This window comes from Homo sapiens, chromosome 3 (genome assembly GCF_000001405.40).
Source record: "Homo sapiens chromosome 3, GRCh38.p14 Primary Assembly".
NCBI lineage: Eukaryota > Metazoa > Chordata > Mammalia > Primates > Hominidae > Homo > Homo sapiens.
Window position 1 is genome coordinate 61,016,650 of NC_000003.12, and position 15,400 is coordinate 61,032,049.

Here is a 15,400-nt window from a genome sequence, read left to right on the forward strand (position 1 = left end):
AGTTCACAAGAACCCTCAGCTCCATGGCTCCATCACTAATGAAACAAGTCCTGGATTTTCATAGCAACCATCAAGCATAAATTTGGCTCCCCAGAGCATGTGAACTTTATGTGTGAATTACTTATGTGTGTGCACAAACTAAAGGCAAATTCATGTGAAGCATACAGGCAATTTACAAACTCTATCTGTTCTGAAAGTCTGCACAGTAACAGGAACACAGACAGAAATAACAAAATGGGTGTATATGTCCAGGTTTCTCCACAAAAGATGACCTGTATACTTGCAAGGGCAAAATATCACAAAAACAACCCTAATGCAAGAGTAGTAATGAGAGCAACTAAAAATAAAATACAGAGGCTGGGCCTGGTGGCTCACACCTGTAATCCCAGCACTTTGGGAGGCCGAGGTGAGCAGATCGCCTGAGGTCAGGAGTTCAAGACCAGCCTGGCCAAAATGGTGAAACACCGTCTCTAACAAAAACACACAAAAAATTAGCAAGGTATGCTGGCAGGTGCCTGTAATCCCAGCTACTTGGGAAGCTAAAGCAGGAGAATCACTTGAACCTAAGAAGTGGAGGTGCAGCAAGCTGAGATTGCGCCACTGCACTCCAGCCTGGGCGACAAGAGTGGAACTTCGTCTCAAAATAAACAAATAATAGAAATAAAATAGAAGATAATGACTGTGTGTGTGCACTTTCATTATTTTGAATGTTAGTGCTCAAAGGAAAGCAAATTTAGTTAGAAAACAAGCTGATAGAAAAACAGTTTCAGAGATTCTTAAGAGAACTTCAGGACACATTTAAGAACCATGAAGGCTGGTAACACAAGTTTTGAAAAAATTAGGCCTTGTTTCAGGACAATTTTGTTTTTCCCATTTCTAGGAATCCGATGTATCATTCACACAATTTGTATTCCCATTAGCCTTGATTAGGGACATATCTGTGCTCACATTAGACTCCCTGAATACAGGGACCAAAATTCATTCAATGTTGCCACTTGGGTGTCTAATATGCTGCAAAAATCTCTAGGAAAGATATAAATGAACAAATAAATGATATGCTGAGATAACATTGTGAAGAATTTGGCAATGAGGAGGGGCATTATCTTCTTCCATAAAGACATTGATTTATTCTTTAATATCACTCAGAATCACAAGAAATAATCAGCTGATACAGAAATGGAACAGCTGTCTCACACAGAAGTGGCTAAAGAGAAAAAATTTCCACAAAATACTGGAAAAGATGGTAACAAATCAAATTTCAAAGTTGGGCAGCCCTACCAAAAAGAGAAAAAGAAGATACGAGAGGAGTCAATAGTGACAGCACTACTGAAATTCAAAAATAGGACTTGAGGTCTAAGACAAACTGATAAAAATTAAAATAATGGCAATTACTCATTGAACATTTACTATGTGCCAGGTACTATATATGCATGATCTAATTTAATCTTTATAATAATCCATTTAGGTAAGTACTTCTATCATCCTTATTATACAGATAGTCAAACACGATGATAAAAAGTAAGTAACTTTCTCAAAGTCACCCACCTAGTAAGTGATGGAACCAGTACTTTAAAACATGTCTGTCTGACTCCTTAATCAATGCAACACTAAGATACATGTGACTAATCAAGGAAAAAGAAAGAGTTTTGATTTTTGTTTCTTTTTCCAATTTAGAAAAGATGAAGGAGAATTCTAGAACCTTCACTTCTGAGCAAATAGCAAACCAACTTGCTGTTGGGAATTTAAGTGTCATGCACATTACCATTTACATTAGTTTGAAAAAGAAGTAAATGTCCAACTTTTAGTTTCTCTAAACAGTTATTCTAGTTTTCCTAAGTTTGACCCCAAAAGGGATTTGACTGTGAAACAAAACTCTCTGTAGTTCTCAGATATGGTTAGACAGTCAGATGCCCACAAGTAACAGCCTGTGCAGAACATCAACACAGTATATCACCCCAGCAAGGAAAGTTCAAAGGAAAGATTTCTAAGGCTACTGAGATAAAATGGAATAGAATCTTTCCAGTATATTTCTCTTTGCTATCAAACCAAATTAGAAAAGACTAATTTATACTAAATTATAAATCACAGCATTTCTAATTTAATCACTGTCTGTTTTTTTAATTTTTGTTCTTGTTTTAGTTTTGCATTTCTTTCACCCATGGGATAGATACACATTCTCACTTAAGCCCCTGTTGAAACTATTTCCATTGTCCCCTAGATCCTCATTCTACTTTAATGTGTCTATCTTCAGTAAAACACAACTGATAAACCTGAAAGATAATAAACTGGACAGACTAGCACTGAGATTCTAAATGAGATAAACCGGCAGTCATCCTGACAGTAATGGAATAAATAAAGCATGAATAATTACATTAAAAGACAATTTCTGATTTAAACTTTGCTTTTCCTGTTTTTACACAGTAGAAAAAATTAGGCTGTCTGGCCTTCCTTAGGAGAAATCTTTCTTAGAAGGAATGTGTGCTTATTTTTAAATCTATCATAACAACTGATATATCAGCAACAATGTACCCATATTTACCTCATATTTATATGTATGTCTTCTCTATTATAAGCAATATGTTATGAAATATATTAGAGATTAGTTCAAAGAGTTGAGATTGGTTATAAAGAATTATATTAGTCGGGTTTAAAACGTATTTGGAAAGTTCCCAGTATAAAATAGTTTAGTTGTGTTATTTTCCTCTTGATGTCTTGAATGTTGCAAGGTACTATTCTATGGCTGGTAGGGGCATGCAACAGGTGGGAGTAAGGAAGGAAACAGCAAGCCAATAATAAGTTTTGAAAATAAGCCCAATCATTAAGTATATGTTGAGTCTCTTCATTACCGTGAATAGGAAGTCTAATAGATTGCCATATGCAGAAACAGAGAAAATGCTGTTTTAGTGGCACCTAATGAGGTTCCAAAAATGCAGTAACTTGTAGATTCTTTCACATTCATACTCTGTGTAATATAACGCTATATAGCACACTTAGCTCTCTTTATACCTTGATATTTTAATGCAAACACAGATTCTTTTCTCTATGGCTTTAAACATTACACAGGAACAAGCTCCCATGAACCTCTTTCACATTCCTACTCAGAGCTCTCTGTGAAAAGCTGTCATTTCTTGTTCTATTCAAGTCAGACTACCTAGTCTCCAGGCACAATGGTAAAAGGAATGTCAAGGTAACATCTTCATTTATTCATATGATTTTCTCTTTTTTTTTAATTATACTTTAAGTTCTGGGATACATGTGTAGAACGTGCGGGTTTGTTACATAGGTATACACATGCCATAGTGGTTTGCTGCACCCACCAACCTGTCATCTACATTAGGTATTTCTCCTAATGCTATCCCTCCCCTAGCCCCACAAACCCTGACAGGCCCTTTGGGTATAACCTAGTAATGGGACGGCTGGGTCAAGTGGTATTTCTTGTTCTAGATCTTTGAGGAATTGCCACACAGTCTTCCACAATGGTTGAACTATTTTACACTCCCACCAACAGTGTAAGAGCTTTCCTACTTCTCCACATCCTCTCCAGCACCTGTTGTTTCATGACTTTTTAATGATCGCCATTCTAACTGGTGTGAGATGGTATCTCATTGTAGTTCTGATTTGCATTTCTCTAATGACCAGTGATGATGAGTTTTTCTTCATATTTTTGTTGGCCACATAAATGTCTTCTTTTGAGAAGTGTTTGTTCATATCCTTCACCCACTTTTTATGGGGTTGTTTGTTTTTTTCTTGTAAATTTTTTTAAGGTCTTTGTAGATTCTGGATCTTAGCACTTTGTCTGATGGATAGATTGCAAAGATTTTCTCCCATTCTGTAGGTTGCCTGTTCACTTTGATTTCTTTTCAAGGAAGCACTAAATATGAAAAGGAAAAACTGGTATACCATCCACTGCAAAAACATAACAAATTATAAAGACCATCAACACTATGAAAAAACTGCATCACCTAATGGGAAAAATAAGTAGCTAGCATCATAATGACAGGATCAAATTCACACATAACAATATTAACCTTAAATGTAAACAGGCTAAATGCCCCAATTGAAAGATGCAGACTGGCAAATTGGATAAACAGTCATGACCCGTGGGTGTGCTGTATCGGTGCGCTATATTCAGGAGACCCATCTTATGTGCAAAGACACACAAAGGCTCAAAATAAAGGGATGGTAGAATATTTACCAAGTAAATGTAAAGCAAAAAAAGCAGGAGTTGCAATACTAGTCTCTGATAAAACAGACTTTTAACCAACAAAGATCAAAAAAGACAAAGTAGGGCATTACATAATGGTAAAGGGATCAATGCAACAAGAAGAGCTAACTATCCTAAATATATATGCACCCAATACAGGAGAATCCAGATTCATATAGCAAGTTCTTAGAGACCTACAAAGAGACTTAGACTACCACAGAATAATACTGGGAGACTTTAACACCCCACTGTCAATATTAGATCAACGAGAGAGAAAACTAACAAGAATATTCAGGACTTGAACTCAGCTCTGGACCAAGCAGACCTAACAGACATCTACAGAACTCTCCACCCCAAATCAACAGAATATACATTCTTCTCAGCACCACATCGCACTTATTCTAAAATTGACCACATAAGTGGAAGTAAAACACTCCTCAGCAAATGAAAAAGAACAGAAATCAGGCCGGGCGCGGTGGCTCACGCCTGTAATCCCAGCACTTTGGGAGGCCGAGGCGGGCGGATCACGAGGTCAGGAGATCGAGACCATCCCAGCTAAAACGGTGAAACCCCGTCTCTACTAAAAATACAAAAAATTAGCCGGGCGTAGCGGCGGGCGCCTGTAGTCCCAGCTACTTGGGAGGCTGAGGCAGGAGAATGGCGTGAACCCGGGAGGCGGAGCTTGCAGTGAGCCGAGATCCCGCCACTGCACTCCAGCCTGGGCGACAGAGCGAGACTCCGTCTCAAAAAAAAAAAAAAAAAAAAAAAGAACAGAAATCATAACAAACTGTCTCTCAGACCAAAGTGCAATCAAATTAGAACTCAGGATTAAGAAACTCCCTAAAAACCGCACAACTACATGGAAACTGAACAATGGGCTCCTGAATGACTGCTGGTTAAATAATGAAATTAAGGCAGAAATAAGTAAGTTTTTTGAAACCAATAAGAACAAAGACACAATGTACCAGAATCTCTGGGACACAGCTAAAGCAGTATTTAGAGGGAAATGTATAGCACTAAATGCTCACAAGAGAAAGCAGGAAAGATCTAAAATCGACACCCTAACCTCACAATTAAGAGAACTAGAAAAGCAAGAGCAAACAAATTCAAAAGCTAGCAGAAGACAAGAAATAACTAAGATCAGGGCAAATTTGAAGGAGATAGAGACACGAAAAACCCTTAAAAAAATCAACGAATCCAGTAGCTGGGTTTTTGAAAAGATTAACAAAATAGATAGACTGCTAGCCAGACTAATAAAGAAGAAAAGAGAGAAGAATCAAATAGACACAACAAAAAATGATAAAGGGGATATCACAACTGATCCCACAGAAATAAAAGCACCATCAGAGAATACATAAACACCTCTACACAAATAAACTAGAAAATATAGAAGAAATGGATAAATTCCTGGACACATACACCCTCCCAAGACTAAACCAGGAAGAAGTCGAATCCCTGAAGAGACCAATAACAAGTTCTGTAATTGAGGCAGTAATTAATAGCCTACCAACCAAACAAAGCCCAGGACCAGATGGATCCACAGCTGAATTCTACCAGAGGTAAAAGAGGAGCTGGTACCATTCCTTCTGAAACTATTCCAAACAATAAATAGAAAAAGAGGGACTCCTCCCTGACTCATTTTATGAGGCCAGCATCATCCTGATACCAAAACCTGACAGAGAAACAAAAAAAGAAAATTTCAGGCCAATATCCCTGATGAACATCAATGAGAAAATCTTCAATAAAATACTGGCAAACTGAATACAGCAGCACATCAAAAAGCTTATCCACCACGATCAAGTTGGCTTAATCCCTGGGATGCAAGGATGGTTCAATATACACAAATCAATAAACATAATCCCTCACATAAACAGAACCAATGACAAAAACCACATGATTAACTCAATAGATGCAGAAAAGGCCTTCAATAAAATTCAACACTCCTTCATGCTAAAAACGCTCAATAAACTAGGTATTGATGGAACAGATCTCAAAATAATAAGAGCTATTTATGACAAACCTACAGCCAATATCCCACCAAATGAGCAAAAGCTGGAAGCATTCCCTTTGAAAACCAGCACAAGACAAGGATGCCCTCTCACCACTGCTATTCAACATAGTGTTGGAAGTTCTGGCCAGGGCGATCAGGCAAGAGAAAGAAATAAAGCATATTCAAATAGGAAGAGAGGAAGTCAAATTGTCTCTGTTTGCAGATGAAATGAGTGCATATCTAGAAAACCCCATCGTCTCAGCCCAAAATCTCCTTAAGCTGATAAGCAACTTCAGCAAAGTCTCAGGATACAAAATCAATGTGCAAAAATCACAAGCATTCCTACACACCAATAATAGACAAACAGAGAGCCAAATTATGAGTGAACTCCCATTCACAATTGCTACAAACAGAATAAAATACCCAGGAATACAACTTACAAGGGATGTGAAGGACCTCTTCAAGGAGAACTACAAACCACTGCTCAAGGAAATAAGAGAGGACACAAAAAAATGGAAAAGCATTCCATGCTCATGGATAGGAAAAATCAATATTGTGAAAATGGCCATACTGCCCAAAGTAATTTATAGATTCAATGCCATCCCCATCAAGCTACCATTGACTTTATTCAGAATTAGAAAAAACTACTTCAAACTTCAAATGAAACCAAAAAAGAGCTCATATAGTCAAGATAATCCTAAGCAAAAAGAAGGCATCACACTACCTGAGGCATCCCGCTACCTGATCTCAAACGATACTACAAGATTACAGTAACCAAAACAGCATGATACTGGTACCAAAACAGATATATAGACCAATGAAACAGAACAGAGGCCTGAGAAATAACACCAGACATCTACAACCATCTGATCTTTGACAAACCTGACAAAAGCAAGCAATGGGGAAAGGAGTCCCTATTTAATAAATGGTGTTGGGAAAACTGGCTAGCCAAATGCAGAAAACTGAAACTGGATCCCTTCCTTACTCCTTATACAAAAATTAACTCAAGATAGATTAAAGACTTAAACATAAGACCTAAAACCATAAAAACCCTAGAAGAAAACCTAGGCAATACCATTCAGGACATAGGCATGGGCAAAGACTTCATGACTAAAACACCAAAAGCAATGGCAACAAAAGCCAAAATTGACAAATGGGATCTAATTAAATTATTCATACTATTTTCATGTTGGACAGTATTATAAAAGCCAATCAAATTGGAGAAATAACATAGTATATTTTACAAAATGTAAATTTGTGATGCAAGCAGAAGAGCTTCTGCTACTCATGAGAGTTATATTCTTGTTACCCAAGAATATAACTTCGCATCTTTTCAAAACAACCTACACAGAGTAACTCTTAAAAATCTGCTAGTGAGGGGGAAAAGGAGGGAGAAAGCAAAGCTTCAAAGGACTTTCTAAAGAAATTATAATACTAAGACTTTTATATGACATTCAACCCTGTTTTCCCCCCTTCTCCCCCAACAAAATAACCTAGCCAAACAATAGAGAGGCAACGTTTAAATACAAACTTTCTTCCACTCAACACTAGAAAACTGGTAAGATTAGGTCTTCAAAGAGGCTGAGCTAAGAATTCTCCTAAGCTTTAAATTTCCTGCAAAGGCTGAGTTTTATTTCTTAAGGGAAGAGCTTCTGTTTGGCTTTTCTTTTTCTTTTTAAGAAAAAAATTCTATATAATTATAGGTTTATTGTTACATTTGTATGTATGAGCAAAGTACAGGCAAAGAAAGAAAAACATTGTCAAGAAGCTGGTTATGACTAAATATATAAAGATGGAATAGTCTAACAATGCCAGTTGAATAAATACTGTAACAAAACTGTAATTTAAATGAAGCTACCAAAATATTTCAAAAGACAACGCATTTTATGATTTTAAAGTTTATCTTCAAAATGAAATATGATCATAGCTATTAACAATATGCTGTAAAATAAAATATGCTAAACATTGCTTCTGTTAGTAACCACTAGTTTCTCAGGAAACATTCTTTATAGAGCAACTCTGATTAATGTACAAGTGACAGCTTTTTTTTTTCTGAGCACTAACCTTACAGTATACCATTGTTTTCAAGACAGTGTTTATAAAAGCTGTAAAGATACGTTTTAGACATTACCTTGTCTATATCTATGAACTGTCAGCAAAAAATATCCCTTTTTCACCTTCTCTCCACTCTCCATTTCCAGTTAGACATTGTGTTTTCATCCCTATATAGCTTGCCTACCTTAAACAGAAAAATGACCAACATATTCTTATGTGCAAAATCTGAAAACATTTCTTTCAGAATAATATGACCTGTTAGACATCCGAAGATCAAGACAGGGATAAAGATTTATTAGGCCAAACCACACAGGACTTATATGTTATGGGCTGTAGGACAGAGCGTATTAAATTATTTCCCTGATCACACAACTGAATGTAAAAGGCTAAACGTTTCACTGATTGTGGTCAAATATGATTGTTGCTGCAGTAGAGTAAAGGCCCCAAAAGTACCCTTAGTTAGGTCAGTGACCAAATGTCACTCTATATGATTTTGTTCTTCACGGGCAATGTCTCCAAAGTGCTAAATGTGTGAAACTCCAGCTTGAACCAAGGAATGAATTTTAGTTTGCTCTTACCCTTTGAATGGATAAGCACATTGAACATGAAAATCTTCTCTCTTCCTTATCAACAAGGCACTAACAGAATTCAGATTTACAGATCAGACACAGAAATATGGAAAATATTCTTAATGTTAGATCAAATACGGAATTATCCAATAAATAAATATTGAGTTTACAAACCATCTAAACTTTGACTCTCCTACTTCCCATCTACCAAGGAAGGGAGAAAAGTAAGAAATGGAAGTTAAGCTCAAATTACTCAGGTACTGTTTGTTAATATATCTGGTGACTATCTTATGTGAGGGAAAAACTGGAATAATAGGAAAAGGTTTGGTGATTCTACGTAGCTTTTGTGACTGTAGTTCTAGCTCCTAAGTTTTACTTTCCAAATAGCTAAGGGCTGCTGTTCTCAAAAGAGCTACCCTTTCTAAATTCAGGAAATAACAATGGAAAGAAATAATTGTTAAATAAAAGTATATGTTGATGTTTACCCTATTATATATTATTTTCATTTTATATGTTATATGCACAAAAATTTATTGGTACATATTTCTAAATGTTAAAATCTTGGTTCTCTGGGTGATAGGATCATACATCATTTTTATCTTTACATCTATACTTTTGTGCATTTTCTGCTGTTCTGCAACAAGCATGAAATGATTTTATGCTCAGGGAGAAGAAAAAAGCCATCTCCCACCACTACGCCCACTTCAAGAAGAAGAATGAAGAGTAAAAGAGGAGAAATATGGTAAAGGAGTCAGCTTTGTACTCTCTGTCTGCTGTTTTTTGCTTCCTCTCATTTCTGCTTTCCTTAGCAGAAGCCAAGAGTGTTTGGGGGGCCTAGGTCTGAGGCCAGCTCCACCTCTGACCAGTGTACCTCCAATTCTCTCCGAGCCTTGGTTTCCTCTTCTATAGAACGACAATAATAATGGTACTCACAAGAAGTCAAGAAGAAACAGGATAATGCATGTAAAGCTGTTACCATGGCGCCTGGCTCAAAGAGAATACCCACCAACATTGCTGCACTTTTTTTCGCCAGCCTTACCTGATCATAGAAATCTTAAGATTTATAAAATACTTTAAAGCAAACTTGTCCAACCTGCAGCCCACAGGCTGCACACAGCTCAGGACAGCTTAGAATGCAGCCCAACACAAAATCCTAAACTCTCTTAAAACATTATGAGACCTTTTTTTTGCAATTTTTTTTTAAGCTCATCAGTTGCCGTTAGTGTATTTTATGTGTGGCCCAAGACAATTCTTCCAATGTGGCCCAGGGAAGCCAAAAGATTGGACGCCGCTGCTAAAGCTTACAATGAGCTTTAACAAACAGTAATTTAATTTTTAAACTGATAGTAAAAAGCAGAGCTAGAATTCAAACCTCACCTTCCCACATCCTAGCTCTGATAACCAAACACCACTTTTGAGTTGGATTGAAACAGTTGCCTACTGGAGCTGCCTCCCTGAGGCTTACCTGCAATTGGTAAATTTCAGTAACTTTGCATACCAGCTGTTAAACACAGACATTATTTTAAATTATTATAGAATTATACAAATTAAAATATAAAAGTTACAATTAAATAAAAATATTTTAAATAAATAAATATATGAAGCTCGTCATGTCCTTATACTTTTTTCTTTTTTTTGAGATGGAGTCTGGCTCTGTTGCCCAGGCTACAGTGCAGTGGCGCAATCTTGGCTCACGGCAACCTCTGCCTCCTGTGTTCAAGTGATTCTCCTACCTCAGCCTTCCAAGTAGCTGGGATTACAGGCGCCTGCCACCATACCTGGCAAATTTTTGTAGTTTTAGTAGAGACAGGGTTTTGCCATGTTGGCCAGGCTGGTCTCGAACTCCTGACCTCAGGTGATCCACCCACCTCAGCCTCCCAAAGTGCTGGGATTACAGGCTTGTGCCAGCGCACCCGGCCCTTATACTTTTATTATCTATACTCTTTAAGCTTATTTGCACCTATTGTATTTGTAGAGTGGAAACACTACATAATAGAGTGCTACATGTATCTCTTCCTAATTCACTTGCAGTAAATTCACATTGGTAGCTTGAAATCAGCCAAACTGGCAAATGCCACAAATCAAGACTCAATATCATTTCGTTGACTTGAGAGTGATGGAGAATATGCAGATTAACTTAAAGTGTGCCATATCTGTGGCTGTTATATTCTGAATAACACACACACACAAATGGAGAACCCATTCTTCCAGTATTATAAACTATCATACAATATGTATGACAGAAAGATGATTATTCATCAGTTGCAAACATAGACTGGCTATGGATATAAGAATTTGGCAAAAATCAACCAAAGCAGTGTGTGAGAATCTACTGGCTATCCAGGATTTACAATCAAGAGTAGTGATTATTTTATTCATATTTATAAATTACATGTTACATGTCCTTTATATCAGTAAAATTAATAATAAACACACATGCAAGCATGCACATTAGGGCATGCATGCACACACATACACATATTTTTCCTTGAGAGCCAGCTGTTAAACATTTACCAGCATACCACTAAATTGACCATTATTTTAAACTAAGAGGAACCTAGAAGCTCTTAAGCAGAGCCCTAGGCTCATCTTCAAATCACTAAGGTTGGGTTATAAATGGTTTTAGCTTCAGGTAAGGCTACCAAATTAGATCATTGTATTTAAATATACTATGTTGGCAATTCCTATCCTGCACAATGATGAAGTAGGCTCATAGCTTCAAGTTCCACCATTATTACAGAAAAATTTATTCTATGGAAACGCAACTTAGGGAAAGTCAAGATAGCTTTCTACAATTCACAAAAACTATGGAGACATACAAAGAAGTAAGATATGGCTCCTTCCTGCCTCCAAGACAGTTGAGCAGGGAGGACAAACACATAAACCTATAATATAAAAGGCACAGCACTGATAGATACAACGTGCTATGGGATGACAAGGGAGAGATCCCATGAGTTTACACTTCAGGTCCTGGTTAATGGCACCAGTCTCACCTGCCTCAAAAGAAGCAAGGGCAAGGAGGCAGGTTCCAGGGAGAAGGAGAAACCTATAAAGTATGGCATAATAGGAAGAAGGATTCTAGAATCAGGCAGCCTGTGCTCAAACCCAGACTCTTTCACTAACTGTGTGAACACGTCCAAGTTACTTGGCCTCTCTAAGCCTCTGCTTCTTAATCTAAAAAAGGAGAATAGTAACTCCTGACCCAGAGCACTGTAGTGAGGATCAAATAAGACAACATCTGTGAAACACTTACCCCAGTGCCCCATAATTCAAAAGTGCTCACTCAATGAACATTACCTACTACTGTGATGGTTGTTGATAGCCTTGAGAGTTGAAATGGCTGACTTTGGGGACTAGGAGGGTGCAGGAACTAGACAGAGGGATTCCAGGCAGAAGGAAGAAAATAAGCACCCCCCACCAACAAAAAAAAAAAGAAAAAAAAAAACAGAGATTACATACAGGGGCCCACTTAGTAGTCCTGAGGTAGTAGAATATTCCTGGAGGTCTAGGTCAGGCACAGCTACAGCAAATAAAGACTGAGGCTAGACCAAGGCTCTTCCAGAATGGTTCAAATATACACTCATTCCTCATGCTCTTCTGAGAAAAACGAAACAAAATCAGGCTTTTAAGATGATACCCTTTTTCTTCTGACAGGTACTGTAAATTGTGTCTCTGATATATTTTGAAGAGCCTATAAGGGAATGATAAATCAGGCAATATTACATATATTCATCAGTACCTTAATTGTTGTTAAATACTAACAACACCTAAAATTGATCTGTACCAAGATTTACTGCTCTGACAAAAAACCACCTGGAAAAGAGCACATGATAATTAAGAACGACCAAGGGTTTGAAGCAATCTAACGCGTATGAACAAGATTTAAACTCCTCCCCGAGGGAATAACTAGGTGATGTTTATTCTGTAGATGAACAATGTGATTATAACAATGGAAGATTGATGAGATTTTTTTACTGTGGGAATCTGATTTAGCCGGCTAGCTCAGATAATAGGAGGATGCAAAACTAAGCCATCCAGTACCACTTAAAAATTCTTTGTGAGGGACACATCTTCAGTGACCTGAAAAAAATGGACTGCAAGTCAGGCAGGCATATTAGGCAGCTACAAACTGTCATACAAAAAAACAGCATTTACCAAAAAGTTTCTAAATGCACCACAACTGAGTTCAACCAAATTAGAGAGAAAAGGTAGGAAGAGAATTACATTCTTATCAGAAGCAAAGGAATTTTTTTTTCTTTTGGTGGTCTTTTGGGCCTACCAACTGTTATTTGAGTCTAACAGGTTATTCTTAGTAATCCCTCTTGTCCAGGAAAAGAGGAACTGCTTGGTCTATTTTAATAAACACACAAACTAAAAGCAAGGCAATATTAGTCTTCCAGAGCCTTGCTATGAAAAGTGTAAAGAGCTATCACCTAGGAGCTTGTTAGAACCTCAGGCTCTTGGGCTCCACCCTAGACCTGAATCAAAATCTACATTTTTGTTTGTTTGTTTGTTTGTTTGAGACAGGGACTCACTCTGTGGCCCAGGCTGGGGTGCAGTGGTACTATCTCAGCTAACTGCAACCTTTGCGTCCCAGACTCAGGTGATCCTCCTACCTCAGCCTCCCGATTAGCTGGGACTACAGGCATGTACCACCACGCCTGGCTAATTTTTCTATTTTTAGTAGAGACAGGGTTTCTTCATGTTGCCTAGGCTGGTCTTGAACTCCTGGCCTCAAGCCATCCACCCACCTCAGCCTCCCAAATTGCTGGGATTACAGGCGTGAGCCACCATGCCTGGCCAGAATCTGCATTTTTAACAAGAACCCCAGGTAATTCCTTTAAAGTATTAGAAGCAATGCTCTAAAGAGACATTCATTCGTTCATTCAATACGTTTGCGAGATCTGCAGTGTCATTTATGGTATGTAGCCACTAGCCAAATGTGACTATTAACATTTCAGTTAGTTAAAATTAAATAAAATTAAAATTCAAGGATTTATTTGCACTAACCACATTTAAGTTCTCAATTAGCACATGTGGCTAATGTCTGCCATATACATTTTAATCATCACAGAAACTTCTATTGGACACATCACTGAACAAAGAAGACAAAGATCTTTGTACTCACAAAGTTTAGATTCTAGTGGTGGGAAAGCAGATACAATAAACATAAGTGACTCAGTTAAATGGTATGTTGGACGGACAGTTCAAGGCTAAGGACAAAAATTAAAAAACAAAGCAGCCTTAGAGGGATCAGGAGGATGGAAAGACAGGAATTTTAAATATGGCAGGTCTGGTAGTTTCAATGAAAAAGTTACATTAAAGGAGAGGCAGGCCGTGAGCTGCCCGGGATGGGGGCAGGGGGGTAGTTTCAAAGGGTAAAGCCTGTGCAAAAGCCCTAGGGCAGGTCTGTTTCCATAACAGCAAGGGTCCCATGTGGCTGCAGGAGAGTAAGGGGAGAAGGCAAGTAAAATGGTAGGAGAACAGAGGAGTATGGATCCTGGGTATGGAAAGGGCTTCCTTATCCATTGTCAAAGATTTGAGCACTTACATGAAACGAAATAAGGGGTCCTTGCAGTGTTTTGAGCAGACAGGTAACATGCTTCAACCCGATCTCAAAAGTTATTCTCGTTCAGCAAAAAATGACTATAAGTAAAAGTTATTATTATTTTTTAATTCAAGGTCATGTTCAGATGTAGAAAGATACTATCTGCAGTGGCAAAATGACTTTGTTTACAAGTTTTGGTAACCATGAGAAGCTTGTTAATGATACACAAACAAGTTATTAAAATTTATCACTGTAAAATTCAGATACTTTTTCAAAATCCTCTATGAATATGCAGAGTCACAAGGTCTTACAGGTTACCACCCAGAACCAGTAGCCATCTTTGCTATAAAACTTTTCAGCAAATCCTGAGGAATGCAAAATCAGAGTTGCCCAATTGCCCAAAAGGTGGAACTCTGCTTGAGTGTCTCAACCTGAAAATTTGTTGATTACTTTATAGAGAGAAAGAGATGAAAATCTGTTAAATAGTTTCAATTTTTTCTTTTTTACCCCAACTCATGTAAATTGAATTCATCTACTCTAACATCCCAGTTAAATGTCAAAGCTTTGGGAATCAAGGTAGGGATTTTTATTTATTTTTCAAAGTTCAGTTCCCAGAAACAATGACACATTTTACCCACAAGTGAGAATGTTGTTATCTTGTAGGTAATCCAGCTACTGTTCTATGAACTGTAGGTCACTGTAGCCTGTCTACAAAATGCCATCATCAGCTTCAAGGCCTGTGTTCACTAAGACAGCCACATGGAAGTTATACTGAACAGGCAACCCTAAAATGACTGAGCGCCATCGCCTGAGATTTATTCCCTGAGGACCACCACCAACTGTGATCCAGCCAGAATTCTGGCAGGAAAATAAAGTAAGTTCACCTTCTGTAAGTTAAATCAAATGAACAATAAATCAAGGCATGTTGGGTCATTGGGAACTAACTGCTCAGATGCTCATGGCCGGTGAGTGAATCAACTGGCATCATTTTAAAGCATCTGGGCATAGCATTTTTGAGCTATAGAACATAAGAG

The 15,400-nt window shown here is 37.7% G+C and overlaps 1 protein-coding gene across 8 annotated transcripts in view, besides 1 other annotated feature; it reads right to left on the reverse strand.

The window, feature by feature from the left end:
• The window catches only part of FHIT (fragile histidine triad diadenosine triphosphatase), a 1,504,176-nt gene that overhangs the window by 1,269,373 nt on the left and 219,403 nt on the right, over positions 1-15,400 (reverse strand). The gene's annotated exons all lie outside the window — the stretch shown is intronic.
• Positions 13,470-14,669: an enhancer, noted in NCBI's record as "CDK7 strongly-dependent group 2 enhancer chr3:61015791-61016990 (GRCh37/hg19 assembly coordinates)". NCBI's record gives its function as "activates an origin of replication core promoter dependent on BRD2, BRD4, P300/CBP, MED14 and CDK7 cofactors, with strong dependence on CDK7, by STARR-seq in HCT116 cells {active_cell/tissue: HCT116}" and the evidence as "EXISTENCE:reporter gene assay evidence [ECO:0000049][PMID:35650434]".